Source organism: Homo sapiens, chromosome 1 (assembly GCF_000001405.40).
Source record: "Homo sapiens chromosome 1, GRCh38.p14 Primary Assembly".
Classification (NCBI taxonomy): Eukaryota; Metazoa; Chordata; class Mammalia; order Primates; family Hominidae; genus Homo; species Homo sapiens.
The window spans coordinates 37,640,270-37,668,125 of record NC_000001.11 but is presented as its reverse complement, the minus strand read 5'-3'; the positions used below and the strand labels follow the sequence as shown (position 1 = coordinate 37,668,125).

The 27,856-nt window shown below is 50.8% G+C and overlaps 5 annotated features.

Annotated features, from left to right (window-relative positions):
• Positions 808 to 1,527: an enhancer, noted in NCBI's record as "H3K4me1 hESC enhancer chr1:38132271-38132990 (GRCh37/hg19 assembly coordinates)". NCBI's record gives its function as "activates a minimal SCP1, AML or CMV promoter by ChIP-STARR-seq in primed H9 embryonic stem cells {active_cell/tissue: H9 hESC(primed)}" and the evidence as "EXISTENCE:reporter gene assay evidence [ECO:0000049][PMID:30033119]".
• Positions 3,917 to 4,449: an enhancer, noted in NCBI's record as "H3K4me1 hESC enhancer chr1:38129349-38129881 (GRCh37/hg19 assembly coordinates)". NCBI's record gives its function as "activates a minimal SCP1, AML or CMV promoter by ChIP-STARR-seq in primed H9 embryonic stem cells {active_cell/tissue: H9 hESC(primed)}" and the evidence as "EXISTENCE:reporter gene assay evidence [ECO:0000049][PMID:30033119]".
• Positions 4,450 to 4,983: an enhancer, noted in NCBI's record as "H3K4me1 hESC enhancer chr1:38128815-38129348 (GRCh37/hg19 assembly coordinates)". NCBI's record gives its function as "activates a minimal SCP1, AML or CMV promoter by ChIP-STARR-seq in naive H9 embryonic stem cells {active_cell/tissue: H9 hESC(naive)}" and the evidence as "EXISTENCE:reporter gene assay evidence [ECO:0000049][PMID:30033119]".
• Positions 5,577 to 5,656: an enhancer, noted in NCBI's record as "active region_772". NCBI's record gives its function as "activates an Ori minimal core promoter by ATAC-STARR-seq in GM12878 lymphoblastoid cells {active_cell/tissue: GM12878}" and the evidence as "EXISTENCE:reporter gene assay evidence [ECO:0000049][PMID:35858748]".
• Positions 6,946 to 7,579: an enhancer, noted in NCBI's record as "H3K4me1 hESC enhancer chr1:38126219-38126852 (GRCh37/hg19 assembly coordinates)". NCBI's record gives its function as "activates a minimal SCP1, AML or CMV promoter by ChIP-STARR-seq in primed H9 embryonic stem cells {active_cell/tissue: H9 hESC(primed)}" and the evidence as "EXISTENCE:reporter gene assay evidence [ECO:0000049][PMID:30033119]".

The following is a 27,856-nucleotide window of genomic DNA, read 5'->3' as shown; positions in this document are numbered from 1 at the left end:
TATATATTGTTTTGCTTAATGTCAGTTTCCAAGAACAAATTGATGATGTTAAGTAAGGACTTACTGTATCATACACTCCAGTATAATAGCCCATCCCACTTTCGGGTAACTGGCTATTTATACTTCCATCTCCTTTCCCTGGCTCCTCCAGGACAGGGGCCAGGTTTGCTCCTCTTTTCTGTCCCAGCCAGGAACAGTTTGGAGCCTTGTGGGTGCTGGAATGAATGAATGAATGAATGAATCAATCAATCAATCAATCAGTCAATGTTCTGATGGATCCTGTGTCTTCGATGTGGGAAGCTTTTCTATAGCTGTCTTTAAAAAAATGTGTTATCTGGTTTTATACAATCCAAAAATGCATGGGGACTCAAAGACCCAAGGAAAGGGCTTTGCAGTGCAGATGGAGGAGGACTCAGCCCCGCTGGAGTGTGCACAGAGGACCACTGGCAGCTTCCCGGGTTCCCCTGCAGAAGCCCTTCTAAGGCCATTAGCCAGGACCCCTGGGGAGTCACATTCTATCAGCTGAGCCTCTGGACAACACAGGCCCGAGAAGCACTGATGGCCGGGAGGCCTAAGCGAGACAGCAGTCACTCATCAGCCCAGACTGGCACAAGTCTGCCTTGCCCAGAGACAGGGGGCTGCATGGGAGGAACCCTGCTCCATGAGGCCCTGACTCTCCGAGCCTGCGTGACAGCTTGGACAGTCACAATGGTTGTGCATAGTCACATCTGCAGGTAATTTCTTCATCCATCTGCATTGGAATGGATCTCATTCAGTTCATTAGAACAACACCCTCTGTCCCAGTGCCGTCTCTCAGGCGGGAGGCGCTGCTGCGTGCCCTGGAGAGCATGCTGCTCAGGCTCCGTGTTGGAACCTTCTGTCTCTTAGTGGGCTCTAATTGCATTAGGAGTAACCATGAGGTCAGTGGGCATGCTTGTTATAGGCGGCCTGGCCTCCAGCCGCCTGGGTGCGTGCAGAAGGAGCTCCCAGGCCGTGCTGCCTGACATTTGCGATCGTTTAATGGAAATCAGTTCCATCTTGGAGCTCTGCTCAGCCTTTCATACAGCAGCCAAACTGTCCTCCTTGGACAGGACATAAATCCTGCTGGCAAGTACTGGGCCAGCTCGCCTCCTGGAGCTGGTTCCCTCCCAGAGCTCGCCAGGGTGCAGCTGTTTGCACACCAGTTCAGGAAAGGTTCTGGGGTGCTGATGGGGTGCAGGGCGGAGAAGAGCACTGTTTTGGGAGCCAAATTCCAGAGGAGCAGCTTCCAGGCTGGGCAAGTTATTAATACTTAACTCTGAGCTTTGGTTTTTCTCATTTGTAAAAGGGGAAGATTGATACCTGCTTCTCTTATGCTAAGAATTAAAGGCCCAACAATGCCTGACACCCTGTAGCTACACAGAATGTGATTTCTTCCATCAACCATGTACCAGCTGTGTGACCTCGAGTGAGGCACGTAACTTCTCTGTGCTCCCATTTCCTCACCTGTAAAATGACATCATGGCAGTGCCCATCTCATATGGCATTTGTGAGGATTAAGGGGGGCAACGCGGGTAAGGCGATGAGAACGGTGCCTGCACTTGGGAAGCCCTCGGTGCACATTGTTGTCACTGTTTTTACTTCTTTGTAGGACATGGCTTTGGAGCGAGGCCTAGTAAATACATGACTTGGGTTGGTTTGGCAGCTGATCCTCTACTGGCAGGGCTCTAAGCTGAGACAGGTTGCAGGTTTGGAGGAGAAAGAGGGCCAGCGAGAATACTGAATTCCAGACTGACCAAATATCTTGTTCCTCTAACAAATGTTTGTGGAGGTCCTACTGTGTGCCAAGCACTGAGCTAAATATGTCGAATTGACAGGGATGTCTACCTGGCTACTGGATATTCGTGTGATCTGCCGATTTTATTTTTCTCTTTATTGGGCTATCCACTTAAAAATAAATAAATAAATAAATACATAAATACATAAATAAATGAAAGGCTCATTGATGCTGCCCCAGCTGAGCTTTGGGGTGTACCTCGATGGCACACAGGTCCCGAGATTTTAGAGTCCAGCTCTTGCTCTGTTCACCATCTCCCCCTTTTTCCAGCCTGAGCAGAGACCTCTCCTCTTCCAAGAAGTCTTCCCCCATCCCCTCTAGACCAGGTGAGGTGTCTGGACCCGATTCTTTGTCTATCACAGCACTGACAATGCACTATCTTGAGGTTTTCTGGTCACTTGTTCCTGACTGGGGATGGACAGGCACTGTGTCTCTTGTTCCCTGCTCTCCAGAACCCAGTGAATGCCCAGCACCGAGCAGATGCTCGACCAATATTTGTCAAACAAAGGAATGAGCATGGACTTGAGGCCTGCAGCTGGGCTTAGGACTAGGGCCCCTGAAAGGTGACCTACCTCCATCTAAAACAGCCTCTTAAGCCTCCCCACACAGGCCCCATAGAATGTCTCCAGGGCCAATGAATTCACCATCTTCCTCCCACTCGTTTCAGTTTCTAAGCCCGTTGGTCAGGAAGTTCTTCCCAATGTCTGCCTACATCTCCAGGAATAACTTCGGCCAATTGTCCTAGAGTCAAGCAGCATGGAAGCAGAGGGGTGTCCTCCCCAAATGCCTCCCCTTGCTTCCCCAAGGAAAAGGAACCAGCACGGCAGGGTGAGGAGGATGGGGGACAGGTTGGAAATTGAACTGACAGATGTCGAGTGCATGTTCCCAAGGAAATACAATGTAATTGTAGTGAACAGGGCTTGGCAAAGAGGGCCTGCATCTGATCTGAAACTCAAGAGCTTTCCTAGTGGAGAGGCGCTGGCCACCAAGAAGGGTGAGCTCTCAATCATGAGCAGCCAGGCATCCCTCAAGTATGGCAGGTGCACCGGGAATCTTGGAATACCTACCAGGCACTGTGGAAGAAGCAGACAGGGTGGGGGTTTCCAGACCCTTAGCCTTCCTGGGCTGGGTTGAGAGAAGACACCCAGGCTGGCCTGGTCAAACAAAGGACCATGTAGCCTGGGCCAGGACTACTCACTATTGGACAGGCCAGAAAGAAGGGGCCTCCAGCAGGGCTGCCCTGCAGGAAGGAAGGACCTCATCTGCAGTCTGGGTCAGCCTCAAAGGCAGGAGCACTCCAGCCCAACTGCACCCAGGTCCCTGCCAACCTCACTGCCATCACCCCCAATATTCAATGCCACTTCTCCCATGCAGGCCTTGTGCTGGGCCCAGAGAGATGAAACAACTTTCCAGGGGCTCTGGGAACACCAACCAAACCCTTCTTCCCAGCTCTCCACTCCCTAAAGACCATTTCTAGCCTTTCTCTGGTTTTCCTGAAGTCTCACTGGTTACGCTAAGCAGAGGATGGTGGGACCACCTCTGGGCCAGAAGGCCAGTGACTTGCAGTCAAGTTCCAGCTCTGTGTGACCTTCACAAGTCCTATCTCTCTGAGTCCTGAGTTATTTCACCTCCATAGAGTGGCAAAGAGCAAAGATTTTTAAATGCTTTTTATTTTTATTTTATTATTTTTTTTTGAGATAGAGTTTTGCTCTTGTCGCCCAGCTGGGGTGCAATGATGCGATCTTGGCTCACTGCAACCTCCACCGCAGGTTCAAGCGATGCTCCTGCCTCAGCTTCCCAAGTAGCCGGGATTACAGGCGACTGCCACCATGCTCAGCTAATTTTTGTATTTTTAGTGGAGACAGGGTTTTACCATGTTGGCCAGGCTGGTCTTGAACTCCTGACCTCAGGTGATCCACCCACCTTGGCCTCCCAAAGTGTTGGGATTACAGGCGTGAGCCACCGTGCCCGGCCTATTTTTTTTTTTTTAATCTTTTAAAGAAGTAGAAACCTTAGTATTGTGGAGAGAAATGTGAGGAATGTCAACATGTAAAACAAAGCAGGACTGCTCTGGCTGGAGCAGGGGGAGCCTGGGGTCCTGCCTGCTCAGCCTCCCCTATGCCTCTGAGCGCCTCTCTCACACCCACAGCCTGAGAGCCATGGCACTGCAGGACAGCTAAGGGACTTCTTGTCCTCAAGCTTAATAGGGGTTTCCAGGTGGGCTAGGGCTGGGAGGTCCAAGGGCAGTGCTATCTGCTGGAGAGATGACAACTGGCTCACTAGTGAGGACAGGGGAGGGCAGACCCATTGTGCCTTGCTTATGAAGACATTTCTCAAGGAGAACTAGCTTCCCGGGGATGGACATGGCTCCAGCCGAAGGTGCAATATGAACCACCTCCCTCCCGGAGCTGGGCATGTGGGGAGGCAGCTACCCAGACATCCCTCAGCAAGCTGCTGGGGTCACACTGCCTGGGGACAGGAGACCCATGTGATGACCCCCTACGGGCGCCTGCACCTTGGGCGGGATAGCAGGAAGCAGATGCAGAGGAAAGCGCGGAGCCTGGAGCCCCCTACCTAGAAGTGATTGGAGGGAGTCCTCGGGCCCAGCCTTACTGTCCCCAGGGAGAGCAATCACTGAGAGTATCAGACCAGGCCCTGCTGCCAGCCTCTGCTCCGGAAACCCCCTCATTCCACGGTGTCTGCTTAATCCCTGTTAACAGTGGGCTGACCTCCCGCCTCTGTGGCCTCACACTGGGCCTGCCCCAGATCCTCACAGGCCTCCTTCGAAAAATAAATAAATACTTTCTCCATTATCCCATTAGCAGCTTCACAGGTTTTTCTGCTATTAGTTCCCAGCTCCAGTGAAAGTGGAAACACGTGTTCCAAAGAGCCTCCGCTTGCCCACCAGCCACCATGGGGCTGGTGCTACGCTGGAGGCAGAGCTGTGCCTGGCCACCTGCAGCTGCCCACTGGGGAGAGTGCGGGTCAGAATCCGTTCAGCTCCCCCCAGATTCTGCCACCTTCAGCATAAACCAGGGGTCTCCACACAACCAGGCAAGGAGCTGGGAAACACAGCTTCTGTGTGATGCTCTTCACTGGCTGTGTGTCTTCTGGCAAATCTCATTACCTCTCTGGGCCTCAGTTTCTATTTTATTGTCTTTTATTATTTTGAGACAGAGTCTCGCTCTGTTGCCCAGTCTGGAGTGCAGTGCTGAGATCTTGGCTCACTGCAACCTCCACCTCCTGGGTTCAAGTGATTCTCCTGCCTCAGCCCCCCAAGTAGCTGGAATAACAGCTGTGCACCACCATGCCTGGCTATTTTTTTTTTTTTTTTAGTAGAGACGGGGGTTTCACCATGTTGGCCAGGCTGGTCTCGAACTCCTGACCTCAAGTGATCCACCTGCCTCAACCTCCCCAAAGTGCTAGGATTACAGGCAGGAGCCACCGTGCTTGCCCTCAGTTTCTTTTAAAATGGAGATTAAACTCCTATTTTAAGGACTAGAGGATCAAAATTATCTGAGAGGACAAGGAAGGGTCTTCAAGTGCTTTGCCAGTGGGGACGGGTACTTGGGAAATGCCTTACTCCTCTGGCCTTTGCTGGCCACCTCTACTTCTTCAGATGTAGTAAAGGAAGTAGCTAGGCCTTCCCTCACTGCACTGCCCTACACCCCAAGGGGAGCTCAGACCCCTGGGGTTGGCTACCTCCTTTTCGGTGCCTAGTGCATTCCGCTCCCCACGGCCACAGTTCTCTGAGAAGGTTCTAGGATGCTCCATCATTGGCTCCTCAAGGTGGGGCAGGGCGCTGCCCAGCTGACCTCGGCTAACACCCCCACAATGCCCAATGCAGGCCCTGGCACAGAGCAGAATCAGGCTGGGAGCTGCAAATGTTTGTCTTCCGGTTCCATCTCTTGGCTCCTTTTCACTTCCTCTGCCTGTGGCCCCAGGCAAGGGGGTCCCAGGTGTGCAGGAGTGTGGGCTGCTTCTGGCTGCCCACTGGGCACCTGGGACTTGGGCGGACAGGCAGTTAGTCTGCACAGAGCCTGTCAGCAGCTGGAATCTGTTGGCAGTGCCTGTGAGGTCACTGCTCTGCCTTCCCATTTCGAAGGAGGTGGGACTAAGTCCTAGCTCAGGCCATCTCTGGAAACCTCTGTACCTTGGCTCCCACTTTTCTGCCTGTCCCTTCCCTGCAACTCCACCCTGCTTCACTTCTCTTGTCTGCGAGCTTCTTGAGGCAGAAAGGGTGTCTCGTTGTCCCTTGGACATGCTGTGCTCCATTCAATGCCAAATTGGAACGGTGGCTTTCTTATGGATTGGCTGTAACCTTGAACAAGTGACCTAACTTCTCTGTACCTCTAATTTTCTCATCTTTAAAGTGCAGATGGCACATTGCATTGCTGTGAGGGTCTAGTGGGATAATGCATTAGCACAGTCCCTGGCACCTTGTAAGCCCCCCAGAGAATGAGCTGTTGTTCTTACTCCCTATCCTGGGAACTCAGCACGGCCTGCTAGAGTGCAGTGCACAGCAAATGAGCGTGTGAATGCATGCTCAGTCCCAGGCCCCGGCCCTCAGCCCCTCCCTCTGGTTCCTGGCCAGGTGGGAGATGCTGTCTGCTCTGCCAGAGTGTGGTTTCTCAGCATGGGAAAGGCTGTCTGGACACCTGGAAACAGCAGGATGACTGTGCCTGGGCAGCCCCGGGGCCTACAGTCTCTCTGGGCAGAAAGGAGCCCAGAGCGCATTCCTGGGTGGAGAGCTGGATTGGCCTCCCTGCACTGTGGGACTTGGCCTCGGTGTTCGTCTGACGAGTTGGCCTCGTCTTACCAACCCTATGACTCCTCTCTGTGGGTCCATTTCAGCAGCCTGGCAGCAGCCAGGCCTCCTTTCTCGGCCCCCTGGGAAGCCCCCCTCTCACCTATCAACCAGCAGCTTTCATCCCCTTGGTTCTCCCAGAGGTTGGACCAGGGCATTCTTCCACTCTGACCTGCTAAGCCCCTGTCCGAATGAACCACCCATGGAGGGAGAGGTGAGGCCGGGGCCGGACTGAAGGATGCTATGACTCGCTTTCTCCATCTTGGCCAATGCTGGCCCTCAAGGAGGCAGAGGCGGGAGGCCTGGTAACCTCCCGCCTGGGATCCTGGGCTGTCTCTGGCCAGAAGCCAACTGGGCACTTTGGCATCAGGTGCCTTTGCAAGCCAGGATGGGGGTGGGAAGGCCCAGCCCCCTCTCTACTGATGTTGGTAGGGGGCTGGGCATGGCCTCATGGGGAGCTGCCCTGGACACAGCAGAGGCAGGCGGCTGCACCGCCTGACCTCCTGTGAGTCCAGAGGCTATGATTCTGTGATTGATTCTCCCCTCGGAGCCTCTGGGCTGCTCTCCTGGGAAAGCCGCAGGTCTGGGTCAAGGGGAGGGAGTCTGGTATGGACCATATTCAGGGACGGATTAGCCGGGGGAACTGCTCCCACCAGCAGGGAGGGGAGAGATAAAGCCTGTGAGCTGAAGAAGGGGGGCCCAGCACCGAGACACTCCCTCCCTGACCCTAGGCCCGTGCAGAGCTGGTGTCTGTGGTGGGGGAGGGGGCCGCCCCCTTTCCCAGGGTACTGGCTGGCCGTGGAGCCCAGCACTTTCTCAGGCCCTTTATTAAATTTCTCAGGAGCAAGAGGGGAGGTTATCCCTCCCCTTCTTCCCTGGGCTCCCCTCCTTTTGTCTCCCTCCCCAGGAGGGTCGGGAAGGAGCTTTTCTCATTATTGTGGTTATTAAAAAATAAATGAGCCAGAGACAGAGACACAGAGGGAGAGACAGAGAGGCTGAGAGACAGAGGCAAGCAAAGAGAGACAAAGAAAGACAGACAGATAGAAGACGGAGCTGGGAAGACAGATACAGAAGGAGGTAGACACAGAGAGGCCGAGAGAAATGGAGGAGAGGTCCAGGGCAGCTTGGCATGGTGGGAAAAACAGGTTTGGGGACTTTCAACTGCATTTAAAGTCACGCCTGGTACCCAGTCGTGTGGGCTTGGGCAAGCTACTTCATCTACTTGAGCCTCCGTTTCTCGTCTGCAAAATGGAGTAATAATCCTTACTTTGTAGTATCAGAAGCATAGACAGAGAGACAGAAGGCAGAAGGGACAGAGAGAGCTCAGTGGTGCCTGGGAAGCCCCCACTGCCCTTGAGCAGAACAGGACTCTGAGTTGCAGGACCTCTTCCCTGGAGATGACTGTTTCTGGGGTCCAGGCTCCTTTTCCGTATTCATCACCTTACTTCTGTGAGCCAATTCGTGGCTACTAAGTGGAAAACAAACTGGAGTCCTAGAATGTTCACCTTGACCAGGTGCTCACGCCTGGAATCCCAGCACTTTGGGAGGCTGAGGTGGGCAGATCACTTGAGGTCAGGAGTTCGAACCAGCCTGGCCAACATGGTGAAACCCCGTCTCTACTAAAAATACAAAAATTAGCCAGGTGTGGTGGCATGTGCCTGTGGTCCCAGCTACTCGGGGGACTGAGGCAGGAGAATCACTTGAACCTGGGAGGCAGAAGTTGCAGTGAGTTGAGATTGTGCCACTGCCCTCCAGCTTGGGAGACAGAGTGAGACTCTGTCTCAAAAAATTAAATTAAATTAAAGTTAGCCGGGCGTGGTGGTGTGCGTCTGTAGTCCCAGCTGCTTGAGAGGCTGAGGTGGAGGTGGGAGGACGGCTTGGGCCCGGGAGGCCGAGGCTGCAGTGAGCTGTGATTGTGCCACTGCACTCCAGCCTGGGCAACAGAGTGAGACCCTGTCTCAAAAAAAAAAAAAAAAAAAAAAAAAAAAAAAAAGAATGCTCACCTCATGTTGTTGTTTTTCCTTTTATCTCCCAAACTAAAGAACTTGACCATGAGCTTTGGAGACAAACAAACCTGGCACTGAATTCCCGAAACCTACTATGAAGTTTTTAAGGGCAAATGGCTAATATATGTTGATCTCATAGCTTTTTTTTCTTAAATAACTTTCTTCAGGTATAAAATTTACACGTAAAATGTACCCACTTTAAGTGCACAATTCAATGATCTTGAGTAAATGTGTACAGTTGTGCAACCATCATCACCACCCAATTCTAGAACCTTTCCATCACCCCCAAAATGTCTCTCATGCCCATTTGCAATCACTCCCCATTTCTATCCTGAGCCACCACTTGTCTTTTTTGTTTTTGTTTTTGAGACGGAGTCTCACTCTGGTGCCCAGGCTGGAGTGCAGTGGTGCAATCTTGGCTCACTGCAACCTCCGCCTCCCGGGGTCAAGCGATTCTCCTGCCTCAGGCTCCTGAGTAGCTGGGATTACAGACATGTGCCACAACACCCGGCTAATTTTTTTTTTTTTTTGTATTTTTAGTAGAGATGGGGTTTCACCATGTTGGCCAGGCTGGTCTCAAAGTCCTGACCTCAAGTGATCCACCTGTCTTGGCCGTCCAAAGTGCTGGGATTACAGGTGTGAGCCACCGTGCCCAGCCCTATTTTCTTTCTCTATAGATTTGTCTTTTCTGGACACTTCATTAAAATAAATCATGCAGCCTGTGGTCTTTTGTGTCTGGCTTCTCTCAGAATGCTTTGAGATTCCTCCATGTATGGCCCACTTCATCCTTTTTCACTGCTGAATAGTATTCCACAGTGTGGATGGCCGTGTGCTATCCCTTCACCCACTGATGGACCTCTGGGTTGTTCATAGGGTATTTTAAGGGTTGAATAAGATACTGTGCGTAACGTAATTGGGTCAGTAAATAGGTCATCTTACATGGGTTAAGGAGCGAGAAGGAGAGGAGAAATTTCTTTGCAGACTTACTACAAGGCAGGCACAGATGAAAGCACACTATAGCCCTTTCCTTCTTACACCACAACTTTGGGGTAGCAGTAAGTACTATTATCCTCTCCATTTTGCAAAGGAGGCAAGCCTGGCTTGGAGAGGGGACTGTGACTGTCTTGTCCGAGGTCACACCCAGTAAGTGAGGAGCTGGGAGCTGAGCCTGGGCAGTTGGCCCCCACCCTGCAGCTTCTTTTTGGCTCTGCCTGCCCCAAGCCCTAGGGAGCACCAGGGGAAGAGCTGGAATTCCCACAGGCTTCCTGCACTCAGCACCCGGCTCTCGCCTCCACCCACACGGCCTGCTCCTTTGCCTTTGCTGTTCCTCCTCAGCACTGGCTAGGAAACTCCCCCATGTCTTTTCCCTCCTTGACATCCCCGTAGCACCTCCAAGCATGGAGCACCTGTGATGTGCCAGGCACTGCTTCCCAGGTGTGGCCTTAGGGATCTGCTGTCATCCTCAGGCCATCCTTGGAGGTGGGTGCGTTGGCACAAAGGCCCAGAAAGTTTCGGAAACTTGCCCAAGATCAGAGTTCGTGAGCAAGTGGTGGAGCCCGCATTCCAATGTCTACATCTGTTTGATTCCAAAGGCCACTCTCCCTCTCTCTCCTTCTGTGCTCCTCCCTCCCAGAGGCTGGAGCTCCACATCTGGCTCCCAAATGACCCCCCAGGAGGGAAGGCGAAGGCTGGGGACCCTGTGGTAAGGGAAGACAGAGCAAGGGAGGGCGGGGGATGCCAGAAGGGGTGGGCAGAAGGGCCAGCTGGCCTTCTTCCCTGTAGCTTGGAGGCCTTCCCCGGGATGGCAGGGTGCGGGAGCTGCCCTCTCCTCTCCTCCCAGCGTCTTCTGGGAGACAATGTGCTTCTCATTAGGCTGGCGTTGGGTTTTGCAAACTGGACCTCTAATGGTGAAGGTTTGGGGATGTGAGGAACTGCGCATCTCTGCACCTCACATCTCCTGGAGGGGGAGAGCAGTCAGGCCCCTCCCACTTCCCGGGTGGCTCTCAGCCACGGGAGATGGCTGTGCCCTCACCCGCACCAAGTGCCAGTCCGAGGGGAGAGGATTCCTTGAGACGAGGGGATGATTGGGGCTGAGGCTAGTGAGATGAGGCCATGCTGATGTTATCTGCTTCACAGGATGGACTAACTGCCCACCTCTGGAATCCTCTAGGACCACTCTTCTTATTAGGCCTCCCCCAAAGCAGGGTCGTGTCTCCCCTCACACTGGGGTCCCTGAGGGCTGGGGGCCCTCCCTCAGCCTTCCCCACACCCCGTGAGAGGGCTGCAGAGCTGCGGTGGAGGGGGTGCATGCTGCACCCCACCCTGTGCCAGCAGCGTTGGGCTTACAGTGGGGAAATTGAGTAATGAGCGTGTAACCAAGTTAGGTCCATGGAAGCCTCCGAAGGCTCCGGTTTCCGGTTTCCTCCCACCCAGTGTGTCTGTCTGGGTGACTGCAAGGGGCCAGGATGCCGCCTTCTCAAACCTTCCAAAATGCTCTCCGAGAGTCTGAGCCCTGCAAGGCAGGGCTGCCAGGGATGGGCAGGGTGTGAATGTCAGGCTGCCAGAGCTCCCGGTCACATCTCACTGCACACAAACACGCCCCACCACAGCCCTGTAGGCACACAGAGACCCATGTGAGATGCTCCCTCCAGTTACTGACATGCACACACACACACTCAAACACACACATGTGCCCCCCAGGTACCAACACACATGGACACACAGAGACAGCCACCCTAGGGAGGCACTTAGTCTCTTACAGCCGGGCGTGGTGGCTCACGCCTATAATCCCAACACTTTGGGGAGGCCGAGGCGGGAGGATGGTTTGAGGTCAGGAGTTTGAGACCAGCCTGGCCAACATGATGCAACCCCATCGCTACTAAAAATACAAAAATTAGCCGGATGTGGTGGCGCGCGCCTGTAATCCCAGCTACTCAGAATGCTGAGGCAGGAGAATTGCTTGAACCCAGGAGATGGAGGTTGCAGTGAGCCGAGAGCACACCACTGCACTGGGTGACAGAGTGAGACTCTGCCTCAAAAAAAAAAATAGAGTCTCTTACACACTCAAGCACACTTTCGTGAGTACACACTCAGGCATGTATATGTCAACCCACAGCTGGCACACACACCCACACTGACACGTGTTCACAGTCCACACGGCTGGGGCACACCACTTCAGACACACTCGGGCGTGTCCTCAATCTCAGTGCAAGCTCAAGTGTGAAGAGCCCTCTGATTCCCAGCTGGAGGAAACTTGAAAGAGCACCATGCCCAGCCCCTGCCTGGCAGGCCCTCCCTCCAGGCCTCCCCAGCTGCTGCGACATCACCCAGGGAGAGACCTAGCCTAGTCCTGGCTCCAACCTCTGGAAGTCCTCATGGCATTTGACTTTTGTCAGACGGATCTTGTTGATCTGGTCCTTTGGGAACCACCTCTGGTGATTTGAAATCTCAGGTTCTGGAGTCCAAGGCTGACTCTCAAAGGGAAGGGGCTCTGGGAAGGGGTGAGAGGGCAGGAAGACTCTCAGGGGTTGGGGGGCAGGGGTCTTGCCAAAGAGAAACATTGGCTTGGATTAGGGAGGATACCTCCTCCCATCCAAGCTGAGAACCTTTGGTTTACTTGTTTACTTAAGCAAAAGGAGCAAGAAGCCCAGGCGCTCTGACCCCATGATGTCTTCAGCAGACAGGGAAGATGCAGGGGTAGAGACCATGGCCAGGGCAGGTTAGGGAATCTGAGCCCCAGGAAGGCTGATCTGAACCCCCTAGGCTGGGCAGGATGGCTTTTGGTTGGTGGCGGGAGCGCGGGGGTCCCGGGTTTTGAGGGAGGGAAGAGGGCAGGAACCAGGGTAATGTGAAGAGGAGAGGCCCCACCCTGTTCCTGGCTAGAGGGACCAGAATGAGCACCTTGAGGAGGAGCCAGAACAGGATCTACCAGCTGTTGGGGCCTGGGGCCTGAGCTCTAGGCCACTCAGTCTCCATTAGTATACCTCTCATTCAACCTAGGTTAGAGCCTTCCTCTGGCTCCCAGAGCTGCTGGGCTGCAACTTGTCTATCTCTATCCTAACAACTACCTGTCTCCCTCACTAGGTGGCAAGCTTATTTTATGCCATTCATTCATTTGTTATCAGCTAAATAACCTGAGGCCTAATTATCTTCTCTGAACTATGGATAATAGTATCTTTTTCATAGGATTCTTTTTTTTTTTTTTTTTTTGAGAAGGAGTTTCACTCTTGTCAACAGGCTGGAGTGCAGCAGCGTGATCTCGGCTCACTGCAACCTCCGCCTCCCAGGTTCAAGCGATTCTCCTGCCTCAGCCCCCTGAGTAGCTGGGACTACAGGCACCCGCCACCAGGCCCAGCTAATTTTTGTATTCTTAGTAGAGACAGGGTTTCACCATGTTGGCCAGGCTGGTCTGGAACTCCTGACCTCAGGTGATCTGCCCACCTCAGCCTCCCAAAGTGCTGGGATTACAGGCATGAGCCACTGCACCTGGCCCCTCATAGGATTTTTAGGATGGAATGAATTATTATGTGTAAATCTCATAGAATACCACCTTCACCAGGTGCAGTTGACTCACACCTATAATCCCATCACTTTGAGAGATCGAAGGAGGATTAATTGAACCAAGGAATTTGAGACCAGCCTGGGCAACATAGTGAGACTGCATTTCTACAAAAAACATTTTAAAATTAGCTGGCGTGGTGGTGTGCACCTGTAGTCACAGCTACTCAGGAGGCTGAGGTGGGAGGGTGGCTTGTTCCTAGGAGTTCAATACTAAAGTGAGCCAAGAATCATGCCACTGCACTACACGCCAGCATGGGTGACACAGCAAGACCCTGCTTCTAACAAAAAAAAAAAAAAAAAAAAAAAAAGAGAAACCACCTCCTGGCCCCAAATTAATGCCATGCATATATTAGCTTTAAAAACTTAACCAGCCCTATGCCAAAAATTTGATAGGCACTGGGTACATGGCAGAGAATAAGGTAGACACAGTGCTGCTCTCAACAAGCTCAAAGTCTTAGGGCCTCGGTTACAGGGTGGGGAGTCATCCTTGACCAAGTGGCCAAGATAATGTGTAATGACTTGTAATGGCAGAAGGCAGGATTTTTAGGGGAGCACAAGACAGGAGGTCCTAGCCCAGGCAGTGGGTTGGGGAGAGGCTTCCTGAGGCAGGAACTTTCAAGGTGAGACCTGCAGGGATGAGTAGAAGTAACCAGGTGAGGATGGGGAGGAAGGGGCTCCAGGCAGAAGGCACAGCATGCACAAAGGCTTTGAGGTCATTATCAACTCCAGGGTCTAGCCCATGGCCTGGCCGTGCCAAACTGTCAGTCAATATTTGTTTTTGTTTTTTTCTGTTTGTTTTGAGACAGGGTCGGGCTCTGTCACCCAGGGTGGAATGTAATGGCATGATCTCACCTCACTGCAACCTCTGCCTCCCGGACTCAAACCATCCTCCCACCTCAGCCTCCCAAGTAACTGGGGCTGCAGGTGCACACCACCACGCCTGGCTAATTTTTGTATTTTTGGTAGAGACAGGGTTTGGCCTTGTGGAACTCCTGGGCTCAAGCGATCCTCCTGCCTCAGCCTCCTACAGTGCTGGGATTATAAGCTCAGCCACGATACCAGACCAGTCAATATTTGTTGACTGGAGCATCGATTGCTTACCAGCATCTGCATTTCATCACATGGGATCTTTGTAGCAACCTGGTAAGATGGGAGCTAATGTACACCAATTTCACAGAGGTGATGCTCAGCAGCTTACAGAGGTGGCCAAGGTCACATAACTCCTGGATCTGTAGTAAAGTCAGGACCGTCTACCTTCTCTCATCTTGCTTTGGGCGTTCAGAGGAATGTTTTCTTCGCTGCTACTATAGAGAACCACTGAACAGAAAAGACCCAGGCAAGAACTGGCAGGCTGGGTACAGCCTTCCAAGGCTCTTTCCTTTGAAGCACAGCCCCTCGGGTCTCTGAGATCAAAATCCCTGGAGCCCAAGTTTCTGGAAGACCTTTGTCCAGCCTGAGCCCTGTGGTCTGCCCTCCTCCCACACCAGCCTCTCGGGGGCCTGGACTAGGGACCCTGGCTCCCTGGGCTCACCTCTGCCCATCTCTCCCTCTCTGGGGTCCCTGGGCACTGCATCTGGCTCCTGTGAGAATAAGGCCTCTGGGTCTCCACTTCCTGGGTAGTTCTTAGGAATGTGCCTCTGCAGCAGTGGCAGATGTGGGCCTGGGACGTGATAAGGGTGGTGGTGAGGCCTGGCAGAACACCCTCTGTCCAACACGGCTGAGCTCCCTTCTCCAGGCCCCTGCCTGCTTCCACCAGCCCCAGCTGTAATAGTCTCACCAGACCCTTCAAACCAACACATCTGGGGGAGGGGGGTGAACAGTGCATCTTGCTTTGGAAAGTTTAAGGCACATAAGCTCTGGGGATCTAGGAGGCCCCATGTGTGCATTGGGAGGTGTGGGGGGTGGGGGTGGGGTGGGTAGTGCAGAGGCCAGGCCCAAGGAGAGGCAGGGGCAGGGGGCAAGAGCCTGGTTTCTGACCCTCAGTCCCATTGTCTGGTTAACTGTCAGCTTGTTTCCAAGTTAAAAATGCTTCTTCCTGGTCTGGTGCGGTGGCTCACGCCTGTAATCCCAGCACTTTGGGGGGCCGAGGCGGGCAGATCTCCTGAAGTCAGGAGTTCAAGACCAGCCTGGCCAACATGGTGAAACCCCATCCCTAAAAATACAAAAATAAGCCAGGCGTGATGGCACGCACCTGTAGCCCCAGCTACTCAAGAGGCTGAGGCAGGAGAATTGCTTGAACTTGGGAGGTGGAGGTTGCAGTGAGCTGAGATCAGGCCATTGCACTTCAGCCTGGGCAACAGAAGGAGATTCCATCTTAAAAAAAAAAAAAAGAAAAAAATGCTTATTCCTTAAGGGGCCAGGTCCCAGACCAGGCCCGCTACACAGACTGAACACCAAGCCTACTACACAGATACGAAAACCAAGGCCTATGGATGCTAGGGGGTGCTGAGGGCAGGTCTATCTTCCCTTCCTCCCAGGGTAGTCTGCCCTTCCCAGGAAAGCGGAGACCAGTCTATCCGTCCTTCCACTCACCCATCTTCGGGCCACTCTCAACCCCCAACCCCTCTAAATGCCCCCTGGAGCCTGTCCCCAGCGACCACCTTCTAGGGAATGTGATGAAAGGTCTATTTATTATACTTCAGCTCGGACAGTTGTTTCAGATGTTTCCAATTCGTCGGACTGCTCAGACATCTGTTCCTGGTTGAAGGCAGAGAAGAGAAAGAAAAAAGGAAAAAACTCGATGCGTTTCCCACACCCTCACTCAGATGCACACAGACTCACACATCCCCTCGCTCTCTCTCCGTCCCCCAGACCCTCGCAGCACGCTCTCTTGTCCTCACCCACACTCACAGCCTCACTCACTTTCACTGCAACCACATGCTGTGCTCCACACAGCTCCCAGGTGTGTGCCGAGACTCTGATATGCCCACTCTCCACCCTCGCTTCCCCCACACAGCCTGGTGTGCACACTCACGCCTACACCTGTCCCCTCTCAGGGCCTCACACCCCCATTACTAGGTCATGGTGAGGGTTCCTACAGTGGGGGACCTGGACCATGTCTTGCATTCCAGTTGAGACACTATAAAGTGGGCTGTCACCTTCCCTACCTCCGGGGGCTATTGTGCTGGTTAAAATCTTGTGTGTTAGGCGCCTGGCCTGGCAGCGAGCTGGCACTCTGAGAATGTCTGTCATAGCTCCTGGTGGCATTTCCCCCTTCCCCTATGTACAGACACACACCCACATATGTATTTGCACCTACAGCGGGGATTGAAAGATTCCAGGGTCCCAGGGAACCTTGAGGTTCTGTGATTCTTGACCCTCACACACAGATGTACAAGCTGCACATGCATGGGTGCTCAGCAACCTGGTCTAACACATGCATGCGGGCAATCAAATGCACATGTACACTCCTTAATGCACACACTCACCTGCACACTTGCAGACATGTACACTCACTTGCATGCTCATCTCAGCTCATTCACAGATGCACACTCAGCTCCACACATGGAATGCCCAGCCGAGGGACTGGGGATTGGAGGGGTGGAGGGAGGCCTGAGTTCATGGGGACCAGGCTGGACTTGCTGAGGTGGGGCTGGGGGAGGAAGTCAACCATTCCCTGGCTCCTAGGCAGACCAAGTGCATTATTGCAGTGCGGACCAGCCCCACCCGACTCTGTGGGCCTGGGCTGGAGAGCTGCCGATGGTAAACCCCTTTCCTAATGCACTGCCATGTGCACTCTAGTCACCCCACTTCTGGAGGAATTGTGGAGCAGCAGGTGGAAGGGGAGGCTCTGCGGGGGTGGCAATCAGTGGGGTGAATGGTCAGGGTGATGACTCCTCCATCTAGAGTTCATTGATTGACACCTCCTGTCTATGACCCCAATCCCCAGATCTGGGCCATGAGCCTCGAAACAAGAGCACCTCTCTCACTGCTCTCCCACCTCCTCCAGTTCCACCAGCCACGGGTGGCTTTGGTCAGACCAGCCCAGGACCTCTCCAGCCTGGGGCCTTCCAGGCAGGCTCAGCTGACCTCTCCACCAGGCCCCCTGGCCCTCCAGTATGGGCATCGTAGCGGACTGCTGTGAGGGACTGCTGTGAGGCTGAGGCACTGCTGTGAGGCTGAGGCACACTCAGAAACAGAAGGCAGGAGAAGGGGTCTATGGGATCCACCATGCGTCCTCCCACTTCCCCCAAGCTGCCCCTCTAGCTGTCTGGGAGTCACAGTCCCTGCTCCCTCAACCCAGACCCCCAAAGCAGGTGGAGGAAGTATTGTCCTTGTGTTAGATTCCAATAGGCCCAGAGCAACTGGGAAACCCCCTTCCCCACCAGAGCCAGCTCAGCTTTTGTGTGTTGGGGGCCTGAATCCGAGACCCACTTGTGGAGGCTCCCCTCTTCCCCAGCCCCCTCCCTCCCACTGCTGGTGCCTTGGGGCCTTGGGCCAACTGGGGCCTCCTCCTCCTTCTCTCCTCTGTCTTAGAGTCATTGCTGGCCTTAGAGTTGGCCAGAACAGACTTGGGCTCAGCTCCTCTCAGCTGCTGACCTGTTCTGTGATTTGCTGCAAAGCATGTAGCCCCTCCCAGCTTGGATGTGCTCCCTGCAAAGCGGGCAGGGTATAGGCTTTATGGAGAAGACCCGTTTACATCATGGTCTCCAAAGGGCCTGGCGGTAGGTGCTCAGTGCAGGCTGGTTGACTCGATCCTGGAGCCAGGTAACCTGTCTCCAATCCAGGACAGACTGCACCTCAGGAATTCCCTTCTCTGGCAAACACTCCTCTTTAGGCCTTCACCTCAGTGGGAGGAAGCCTTGCCTGCACAAGGAGGGGCAGAATCCCAGACACCACCCTCTTGCTTTACCAGCCTCCTTCAGTTTTCCTATCAAATCCCCAAGGCCAAGGGCAGCACTGCTACTACTGCGTTTTACCTGTTGCTCATCTACAGTGTTTGCAGCTTTTTGCCCACCCTCTTCCTACTCTTGAAGGAGGAGCCAGAGGCTTCTGTGAGGTACTGGGGCTGGAGTCGAGAACTGCAGATGGAAGCGGGAGAGAAGAAAGAGGCTCCCACCTGGCTTCTCACCCACGACCTACTGCTGGGTGGGAGGAGAAGGTGAGAAATAACCATTTATTGAGCATCTACTGTGTGCCAGACACTGCATCAGGGCCACAAGTTAGCATGCATGTACCAGAAGGTAAACTCCATGAGGGCGGAGATTATTCTGTTTTGTTCACTGCTGTAACCTTAGTGCCTAGCACATGGTAAGAGCTCAATAAATATATGCGGAATAAATGAATTTCTACCTGTTATTCTCATCATAACTCTATGAGGCAGGTATAATTATTATCACCATGTTACATGATTTTCAGCTGAGACTCAGAGAGGTTAAGTGACTTGCTCAATGTCACACAGCCAGGTAAGTGGCAGAGCTGGGCCTGTCTGGCTGTAAAGCCCTTGCTCTGACCACTGCACTCTTGAGCAGGCCCAGATGACCACAGCTACTCCGTGTGTGTGTGTGTGTGTGTGTGTGTGTGTGTGTGTGTGCAGCTGTCCTGGCATGGGAGTATCACATCTTAGAGGCTCAGTGACTACACAAGTCCCATGGTTACAAGTAGAAACTGTCATGTGTTCTTGTGCCTCAGTGTGCTCAATAAATATTAACTGAATAGCCACAGCTTCTCAGAGATGATAAAAAAGGAAGAAATATTAATTGAATAAATGAAATAAGCGGATGAGCGAATAAGTGCTTCCATGCTAGCTCACAGATACCCTGGTTGTGTTTAGAGGGGCTGGGTGATTAGAAGATAGGGTCTTCAGCTGGGCATTGGACACCTGGGTTCTAATCCCTAAGTTGTAGTGTGACTTTGGCTGAGTCACCACCCCTCACTGGGCCTGGGTCCCTCCTCATTGAGGTAGATGAGAGCTGATGGTCAGGTGTTTCTCAAGGCCCTTCCAGCTCGGCCACCTCAAGTGCTCAGGGTGTGAGGCTTCCCAGTTATGGGCTCCACAGTCAGGGTGAAGTTGGTTCTTGTTTTCTGGGAAGGGGAGGGGATGTGGTGGGGAATCTGAGTATGCTTATTCTACATATTCTATAGAATGAAGTCTGACTCTGGCTCAGCATCCAAGGCCTTCCACAATGCAGTCTCAGTCCAACTGCTTCCCCTCATCCTATGCAACACATAGACACACTTATTCTCTCTCTCTCTCTCTCTTAGACACTGGGCAGAACAACAGCTTAGCAAGGAAAAGGGGCTTGAGACTTGTACCAGCTGCCTGTCACTGACCTGGGCTTTACCCCCAGCAACTCCACATGATGGAGGAAGCACAGGATATAAATCCAGGCTTGACCACTACAATCAGTGTGCTCACGGGCAAGTCGCTTAGCCTCTATGTGCCTCTGTTTTCTCATCAGCAAAATGGAAATGGTGATACTTTCTATCTTGGTGAGACTTTGCTCAAAAGAAGTGACAGTGTCCATCAAGTGCACTTTTGTTATGTGAGCCTGGAGAAAACTTTATTAGAAATCTACTTTGTGGCTGGGTGAGGTGGCTCATGTCCATAGTCCCAGAACTTTGAGAGGCCGAGGCAGGAGGATTGCTTGAGTCCAGGAGTTCGAGACCAGCCTGGGCAACATGGCAAAACCCTGTCTCTACAAAAAATATAAAATTAGCCGGATATGGTGGACTATGAGCCTGTAGTCCCAGCTACTTGAGAGGCTGAGGTGGGAGGATGGCTTGAGCCTGGAAGGTTGAGGCTGCAGTGAGCTGTGATCACACCACTGCATTCCAGCCTGGCGACAGAGCGAGACCCTGTCTCAAAAATCAAAACAAAACAGCTGGGCATGGTGGCTCACACCTGTAATCCCAGCACTTTGGGAGGCCAAGGCGGGTGGATCACCTGAGGTCGGGAGTTCGAGATCAGCCTAACCAACATGGTGAAACCCCGTCTCTACTAAAAATACAAAATTAGCTGGGCATGGTGGCACATGCCTGTAATCCCAGCTACTCGGGAGGCTGAGGCAGGAGAATTGCTTGAACCCGTGAGGCAGAGGTTGCAATGAGCCAAGATTGTGCCATTGCACTCCAGCCTGGGCAACAAGAGCAAAACTCCATCTCAAAAAAATAAAAGACATGACTTTGTGGTCAGACCTCTGACAAAGATCTGAAAGAGAAGAAGCCCAAGATACAGTTGCTACCTACTTTTTTTTTCTTTCTTGAGACAGGGTCTTGCTTTGTCACCCAGGCTATGGATCTTCCACCTCCTAGGTTCAAGTGATCCTTCCACCTCAGCCTCCCAAGTAACTGGAACAACAGGTACACACCACCACACCTGGATAATTTATTTTATTTCTTATACAGACAGAGTCTCGCCATGTTGGTTTTGCACTCCTGGCCTCAAGCAACTTCCTGCCTTGGCCTCCCAAAGCGCTGGGATTCCATGCGTGTGCCACCGGGTCCAGCCTGCTGCCTACTTTTTGAGACTCGTGGTTTACCCGGGAGAATGGATGCATACTTAGGAATCCTGTGGGATGGAATAATGTAATCTCAGATAAAAAGCAAACAACAGGTTGGAGGAAATAGTTACAATTAACACGACAAGCAAATAGTTAATATTCTTGCCATATAACAATCTTACACAACTTAAGGGGTAAAAACCCCACAGAGACCCCAGTACATTAATGGGGTCTCGTGATATAGACAATGAGGGCAAATAATATGGATAGCAAAATCTACAAGCCAGAAATTATACATATGTAGTGGTGGGTATTTGTAAAACATATTTCATCTCATCGATAATCAAAGAAGTGCAAATTATTATTTTATTATTATTATTATTATTATTATTATTATTATTATTATTATTGAGACAGAGTCTCACTCTGTTGCCCAGGCTGGAGTGCAGTGGCACAATCTCGGCTCACTGCAACCTCCGCCTCTCAGGTTCAAGTGATTCTCCTGCCTCAGCCTCCTGAGTAGCTGGGATTTCAGGCACCCACCACCATGCCCGGCTAACTTTTGTATTTTTAGTAGAGACAGAGTTTTGCCATGTTGGCCAGGGTGGTCTTGAACTTCGAGCCTCAAGAGATCCCCCTACCTTGGCCTCCCAAAGTGCTGGGATTACAGGCGTGAGCCACCACACCCGGCAGAAGTGCAAATTAAAGTAACAATAACATTTCTGTCTTTTTTCTTTATCGAGAATCCCCAGTGTAGGTACTATCATAGTGAAAAAGGCAAGCTCGTATACTGCCACTGTTTTCAGTCATTAGTTTGATATTTATCAGGCACATACTACAGGCTGGACACTGTTTCGGAGGCTGCAGAGCATGTTTGCAGTGTGGACAAAAAGCCTTGAAAAGTACTCAGAGCAGCACTGCAAAAAGAAGTCGAGTTTACGGCACTAACCATGGACAAGGCTGAGCCGGGTGGTATTAACAGTTCACACAGGCCGGGTGCAGTGGCTCACGCCTGTAATGCCAGCACTTTGGGAGGCCGAGGTGGGCAGATCACGATGACAGGAGATCGAGACCATCCTGGCTAACACGGTGAAACGCTGTCTCTACTAAAAATACAAAAAATTAGCCGGGCGTGGTGGCAGGTGCCTGTAATCCCAGCTACTCGGGAGGCTGAGGCAGGACAATGGCGTGAACTCGGGAGGCGGAGCTTGCAGTGAGCCGAGATCGCGCCACTGCACTCCAGCCTGGGAGATGGAGCGAGACTCTATTTCAAAAAAAAACAAAAAACAAAAAACAGTTCACACAGATGTGGATCCAAACCCAGAGGCTGCCACTGGAGTCTGGGCCACCTTAGGGGAGCTGCTTAATTGGCCAAGCCCTCTATCTCCTTGTCTGTACAATGGGGATAATAATGTACCCCAATGCTCACAGCGTTGTCGTGAGCACAAAGTAAAACAACAAGTATAAAAGGCTAGGACTAAAGTGAATTCTTGGCCAGGTGTGGTGACTCATGCCTGTAATGCCAGCACTCTGGGAGGCTGAGGCGGGTGGATCACCTGAAGTCAGGAGTTTGAGACCAGCTGGGCCAACATGGTAAAACCCCGTCTCTATTAAAAATACAAAAATTAGCCAGGTATGGTGGTGGGTGCCTGAAATTCCAGCTATTTGGGAGGCTGAGGCAGGAGAATGGCTTGAACCCGGGAGGTGGAGGTTGCAGTGAGCGACATCGTGCCACTGCACTCCAGCCTGGGTGACAGAGCAAGACTCTGTCTAAAATAACAATAATAATAAATAAATAAAAAGTGAACCCCTGAATAATAATGTTTATTTTGCATTATTTATCACTGAGAGAAAAACCCACCCACATCTCTAATAATGGGGGAGAGGATAAATGTGTGTCGCTACTCACCATTTGCTGTGTCACCTAGAGAAGCCATTCAAAAGGGTTCTTGAAAGGATCTTTAATGCCATAGCTGAATACTTGCAAAGTAACACTTGATCCAGACGTATGTGATGTGTGATATAATCGTTGCCAAGCAGCATATCTGGAAGGAATGAATTCTACCACAATGGAGGAATTAGGGTGATTCTAACCCTCCCCTGTGTTTTCTAAAAAATCACAAATTGCTCTTATAACTAGAGACTAGTTATATATAATTATATATTATATATAATATACACTTACATATTACATATAATATATACTTACATATAATTAATGTTATATAATACAATTAACCATTAATTTTAATAATGTATTGCCAGAAGGGCCTCGTCAGGCAGGGAGTAAGAAAGGTATTACCATGTTTGACACAGACTTGTCAAGAAACTTCAGGTTTATTAAAACCAGGGAGCATATCTTACTTATCTTTGTTTTCTTGGCACATTGCTGGAAACTAATCAATCACTGAGAAAATGTGGATCTGCAGGCTTTACATGCATTTTATCAGTTCTTATGACAACCCTGTAAGGCAGAAACTATAATTATCACCACTGGACATACAGGGACACTTAACCTATCAAGTTCGAGAGATTTGGCCAGGTGTAGTGGCTCACGCCTATAATCTCAGCACTTTGGGAGCCCGAGGCAGGTGGATCACCTGAGATCAGGAGTTTGAGAACAGCCTGGCCAATGTGGGGAAACCCTATGTCTACTAAAAATACACACAAAAAAATTAGCCAGGCGTGGTGGTGCATGCCTGTCCCAGCTACTTGGGAAGCTGAGGCAGGAGAATCGCTTGAACCTGGGAGGTGGAGGTTGCAGTGAGCCAAGATCACGACACTATACTCCAGCCTGGGTGACAGAGCAAGACTCCGTCTCAAAAAAAAAAAAAAAAAAAGAGAGAGAGAGAGAAACAGATTTGCCAAGATCACAAAATTAAAAGGAGCAGGGCACGGTGCCTCAGACCTGTAATCACAGCACTTTGGGAGGCTGAGGAGGGAGGACTGCTTGAGCCCAGGAGTTCAAGACCAGCCTAGGCAATATGAGATCCTGTCTTCACACACACACACACAAAATACAAAAATTAGCCAGATGTGGTGGCATGTGTCGGTAGACCCAGCTCCTTGGGAGGCCAAGGCGGGAGGATCATTTGAGCCCGGAAAATCAAGGCTGCAGTGAGCCATGGTGGTGACACTAACCTCCAGCCTGTGTGACGGAGTGAGACCCAGTCTCAAAACAAACAAAAACAAACCAAAAACCAAAACAAGATTAAGAGGCAGAGCGGGGATCAAACCCAGGTTTGTCTGACTCCAAAGTACCTCAGCTGTCTTGCTCTGCTGTGCCATGTGTTAACATGGAGACCAACAGTGGAGGCAGATGACAGGGAGGCAAAGACCTCTTCCCAAGGCCCTGAGATGGCCGATCACAGATCCAAGGGCTCAGCATGAGGCTGCCTGGAAGAGTCAGGTTGTGTCAGAGGCAGGAACTTGACAGAAAGGAGCCAGTTTCTGAAGGAAGAGTAATCCAGCTTTTCCTAGGTTGAATTTGAAGAAATAGTAGGATAAACGTGTTGGAAATATGCCGCAGGCAACTTAAAGTATTGACTGGTGTGAAGATAAGAACCAAGCTGGAGATGTATTTATTATGGAGCCAGAGGACTCTGAGCTAGTAGATGAAAAGGTGGTTGGAAAAGATGGAACTCACGTCAGTTGAGAGCTGGAGTGTGTGTTCAGTGCTTTGCACTACCACGGACATGTTTTGGGGTGCCTGCCCAGTCATAGTTCTTTCTTTGGGATTGTGTCCCATCCACAGTCCCTTCTGAGGGCATGTGGCTGGGCAGCCACACACGGCTCATGACCTCGTCATCTTGTCCACAGGTGATGGCACCAGGGGTTGACAAGGTGTTCAATCCAGGGCAACTGGACTCTCTCTCCCTGGAATGGGGTTTAGGACTCTGAGAAACAGTAGCTACGAAGCAGCTACGCCATAAGCTCACAGAGAGTTGAGGCCATTTGGAGCCATGAGTGACCATGTGGAAGCAGAAGCAGCTAGTCTTCAGAGAGAAAGCCCAGCTGCACAGAGAGAAGTGGTGATAAGGAACTGTGCTGCCCCTGGAAGGAGTGATGCAGGTGAGAGGCAGCCTGTCTCTCCCACATTTTACCCTCTCCTTGGATGTTTACCAGATTGTCTGTTATAACCTTCCAATAAACCTCCTTTTCCTTGAGCTGGCTTGAGAGGGTTTCTGTTCCTTGCAACCACATGGCCTTGAACTAAGACATGAACAACACATCTTAAGCATAAAGTTCCTGGTGCAGTGCTTAACTCATCATTGGCAACTAAAAACTGTAGCTATTATTATTTCATTTGCTCCTCAAAGAAACCTGATGAGAAAAAAAGGTATTATTATACCCATTGGGAAAATGAGAAAACTGGGGCTTGTTGACATAGCAGCAAATACTGGCTAAATTCCAGTGCTGGGGATTCAGGAGAGACAAGGTCCCAGCTTTGAAGATGCCTGCATTCCTATGCAGCAGGCAGACAACAAACAAATTTAGGTTGAGCATCACAAATTCAAAAATCTGCAATCCAAAATGCTGCAAAATCCAAAACTTTTTGAGCACAGACATGGTGTTCAAAGGAAATGCTCAATGGAGCATTTTGGATTTTCAATTTCTGGATTTGGAATTCTGAACCAGCAAAATGCAAATATTCCAAAATCCATACAAATCTGAAATCAGGAACACTTCTAGTCCCAAGCATTCTGGATAAGAGATGCTCAATCTACAGTGAACAAGAAAACGTCAAGCAGAGATAAGGCACTATGAAGGAAACAATATGAAATGATCTACTAGAGCTACTTTAGACAACAGAAAGCCTCTCTGAGGAGTGACCCTTGAGCTGAGACCTAAAGGACAAAAAGGAGCAGGCAGGCCACATGCAGATCTGGGAGGGGGGCACTCAGAGCAGAAGGAAAAGCAAAAGAAAGAGTTTTGGGCAGGATTAGGTTTGATGCACTCAAGGAACAGCAAGGAGGCCAAGGTGAGCAGAATGGGGTAGCAGGAATAGGTTCCTGAGGGTTTTATAAGTCAGGTGAGATGTCTGGCTTTAATTCTAAGAGCAATGCGGAACCACTGGAAGGATTTAAGAGTGCTGTGGTAGACAGCCCTCCAAAGATGTCTCCTTTCTAATCCCCCAAACCTGTGAATATGTTACCTCACATGGCAAAGAGATTTGCAGATGTTATTAAGGCTTGAGATGGGGAGAATATCTTGGCTTATCTGGGTGGGCACTGTGGAAGCACAAGGGTCCTTATAAAAGGGGCACAAGAGGGTCAGAGTCAGAGGAGATGTGATGACAGAAGTGGAGGTCAAAGGAATGCAAGTAAGGGGCTGTGAACCAGGGAATGCAAGTGGCTTCTAGAAGGTGGAAAAGGCAAGGAAACATCTTACCAAGGTATCTGGAAGGAATGCAGCCCTAACAACCTATTTTAGACTTCTGGCCTCTAGAACTGTAAAATAATAAGCCTGTGTTATTTGGAGCAACTATGTTATAATTTGTTATAGCAGCAATAGGAAACCAGTACAAGTGCTATGATCTGATCTATATTTCTAAAAATTCACCCTGGCTGCTGTGGATTGTGGGGGCAAAACGGAAGCTGGAAGATAAGCAACGAGTCTGAGGCATCACCCAGGCAGGCGACAGTGGTGCTTGGACCAGGTGATGGAGTCTGACACATGGATCCATTCTGGAGGTGGAAGCGAAACAATTTGCTGATGATCAGGCATGGCGAATAAAGGAAAGATAGCAATCTAGAAGAATTACTTCTTGGGGTTTTAATCTGATTATCTGGATGGCTGGAGATGCTGTTTATGGAGATGGGAAAGACTGAGGGAGGAGCAGGTTTACAGATGTCGGGGGAGTTGGATAAGATCATCAAGCCAGCAAGTGGCAGACCTGGAACTAGAACTTGGGTGTCCTGACTCTCAGACCCAACATATATGGATCTGTGAGAAAGATTTCACTAAGGAAAGAGTTTGGGATTTTTTAAGTTAAGATTTATTTAGCACCTCCTCTATTAGTCAGGGTTCTCCAGAGAAACAGAGCCAATGAGAAAGAGAGATTAAATTTTAAGGAATTGGCTCGCATGAGTGTAAAGGCTGGCAAGTCCAAAATCTGCAGGGATAGGTTGGCAGGTTGGAGACCCAGGGAAGAGCTGGTGTTGCAGTTCAAGTCCAAAGGCAGAATTTCTTCTTGCTCAGGGGAGTTCAGTCTTTTCCTCTTATGGCCTTCATCTGATTGGTTAAGGCCCACCCACATTATGCAAGGTAATCTGCTTTACTCAAAGTCTACTGATTTCAGTATTAATCCCATTGAAAAAATACTTGCAGAGAAACAAAAAGCATAATGTTTTTTTCCCATGGCCTAGCCAACTTGACACTTACTTTTCTTACTATTGGGCATTGTGCTTTTTAGCTATATTAGTTCATGGTTGACAAGAAAGGCAGATGGCGGGGAATCACCCTGGGTTTGTCCACAGTTAAGGGCTAGGAGGGGAGGTGGACAGATATACAAGGAAACAGGAACCAGGACAGTGGAGAGAAGCATTCCAAGAAGGTGGAGGTGTCAAGAATTGCAGAGGGATAGAGAAGGAGGAAGACAAAGGAACCACAGAATGCGGTGATAAGGAGGTTTTTGGTGACCTTAGCCATGGATCATGCAGGGAGAGTGAGAACTGTGGCAAGGAAGGGGGCTCTTTCACATGGAAGGATTGGGAACTGGAGTCTAGTACAGAAGCATGCAAATAAATGGCTACAAAACGCAAAATAGGGCCAGGCATGGTGGCTCATGCCTGTAATCCCAGTGCCAAGGTGGGATTGGTCTTGAGGCCAGGAGTTCAAGACCAGCCTGAGCAACACAGTAAGACACCATCTTTACAAAAAAAAAAAAATGTAAAATTTTTTTTTTTACATTTTGGGCATTGTGACACGTACCTGTAGTCTCAGCTACTTGGGAGGCTGAGGTGGAAGAATGAGCTATGATTGTGCCGCTGCACTCCAGCCTCAGTAACAGAGTGAGACCCTGTCTCTAAAACCAAAATAAAACCAACAAACAAATACAACATACACTACAACAGAAAGGAAGCTGTGATATGAAATAATGGGGGAGCTACTCAGATGGAGAGGTCAGGGAAGGCCCTTCTAACAGAATAATTTTTAAGTGGAGATTCGAAGGAAGAAAAGAGGCTAGGCACAGTGGCTCACACCTATAATCCCAGCACTTTGG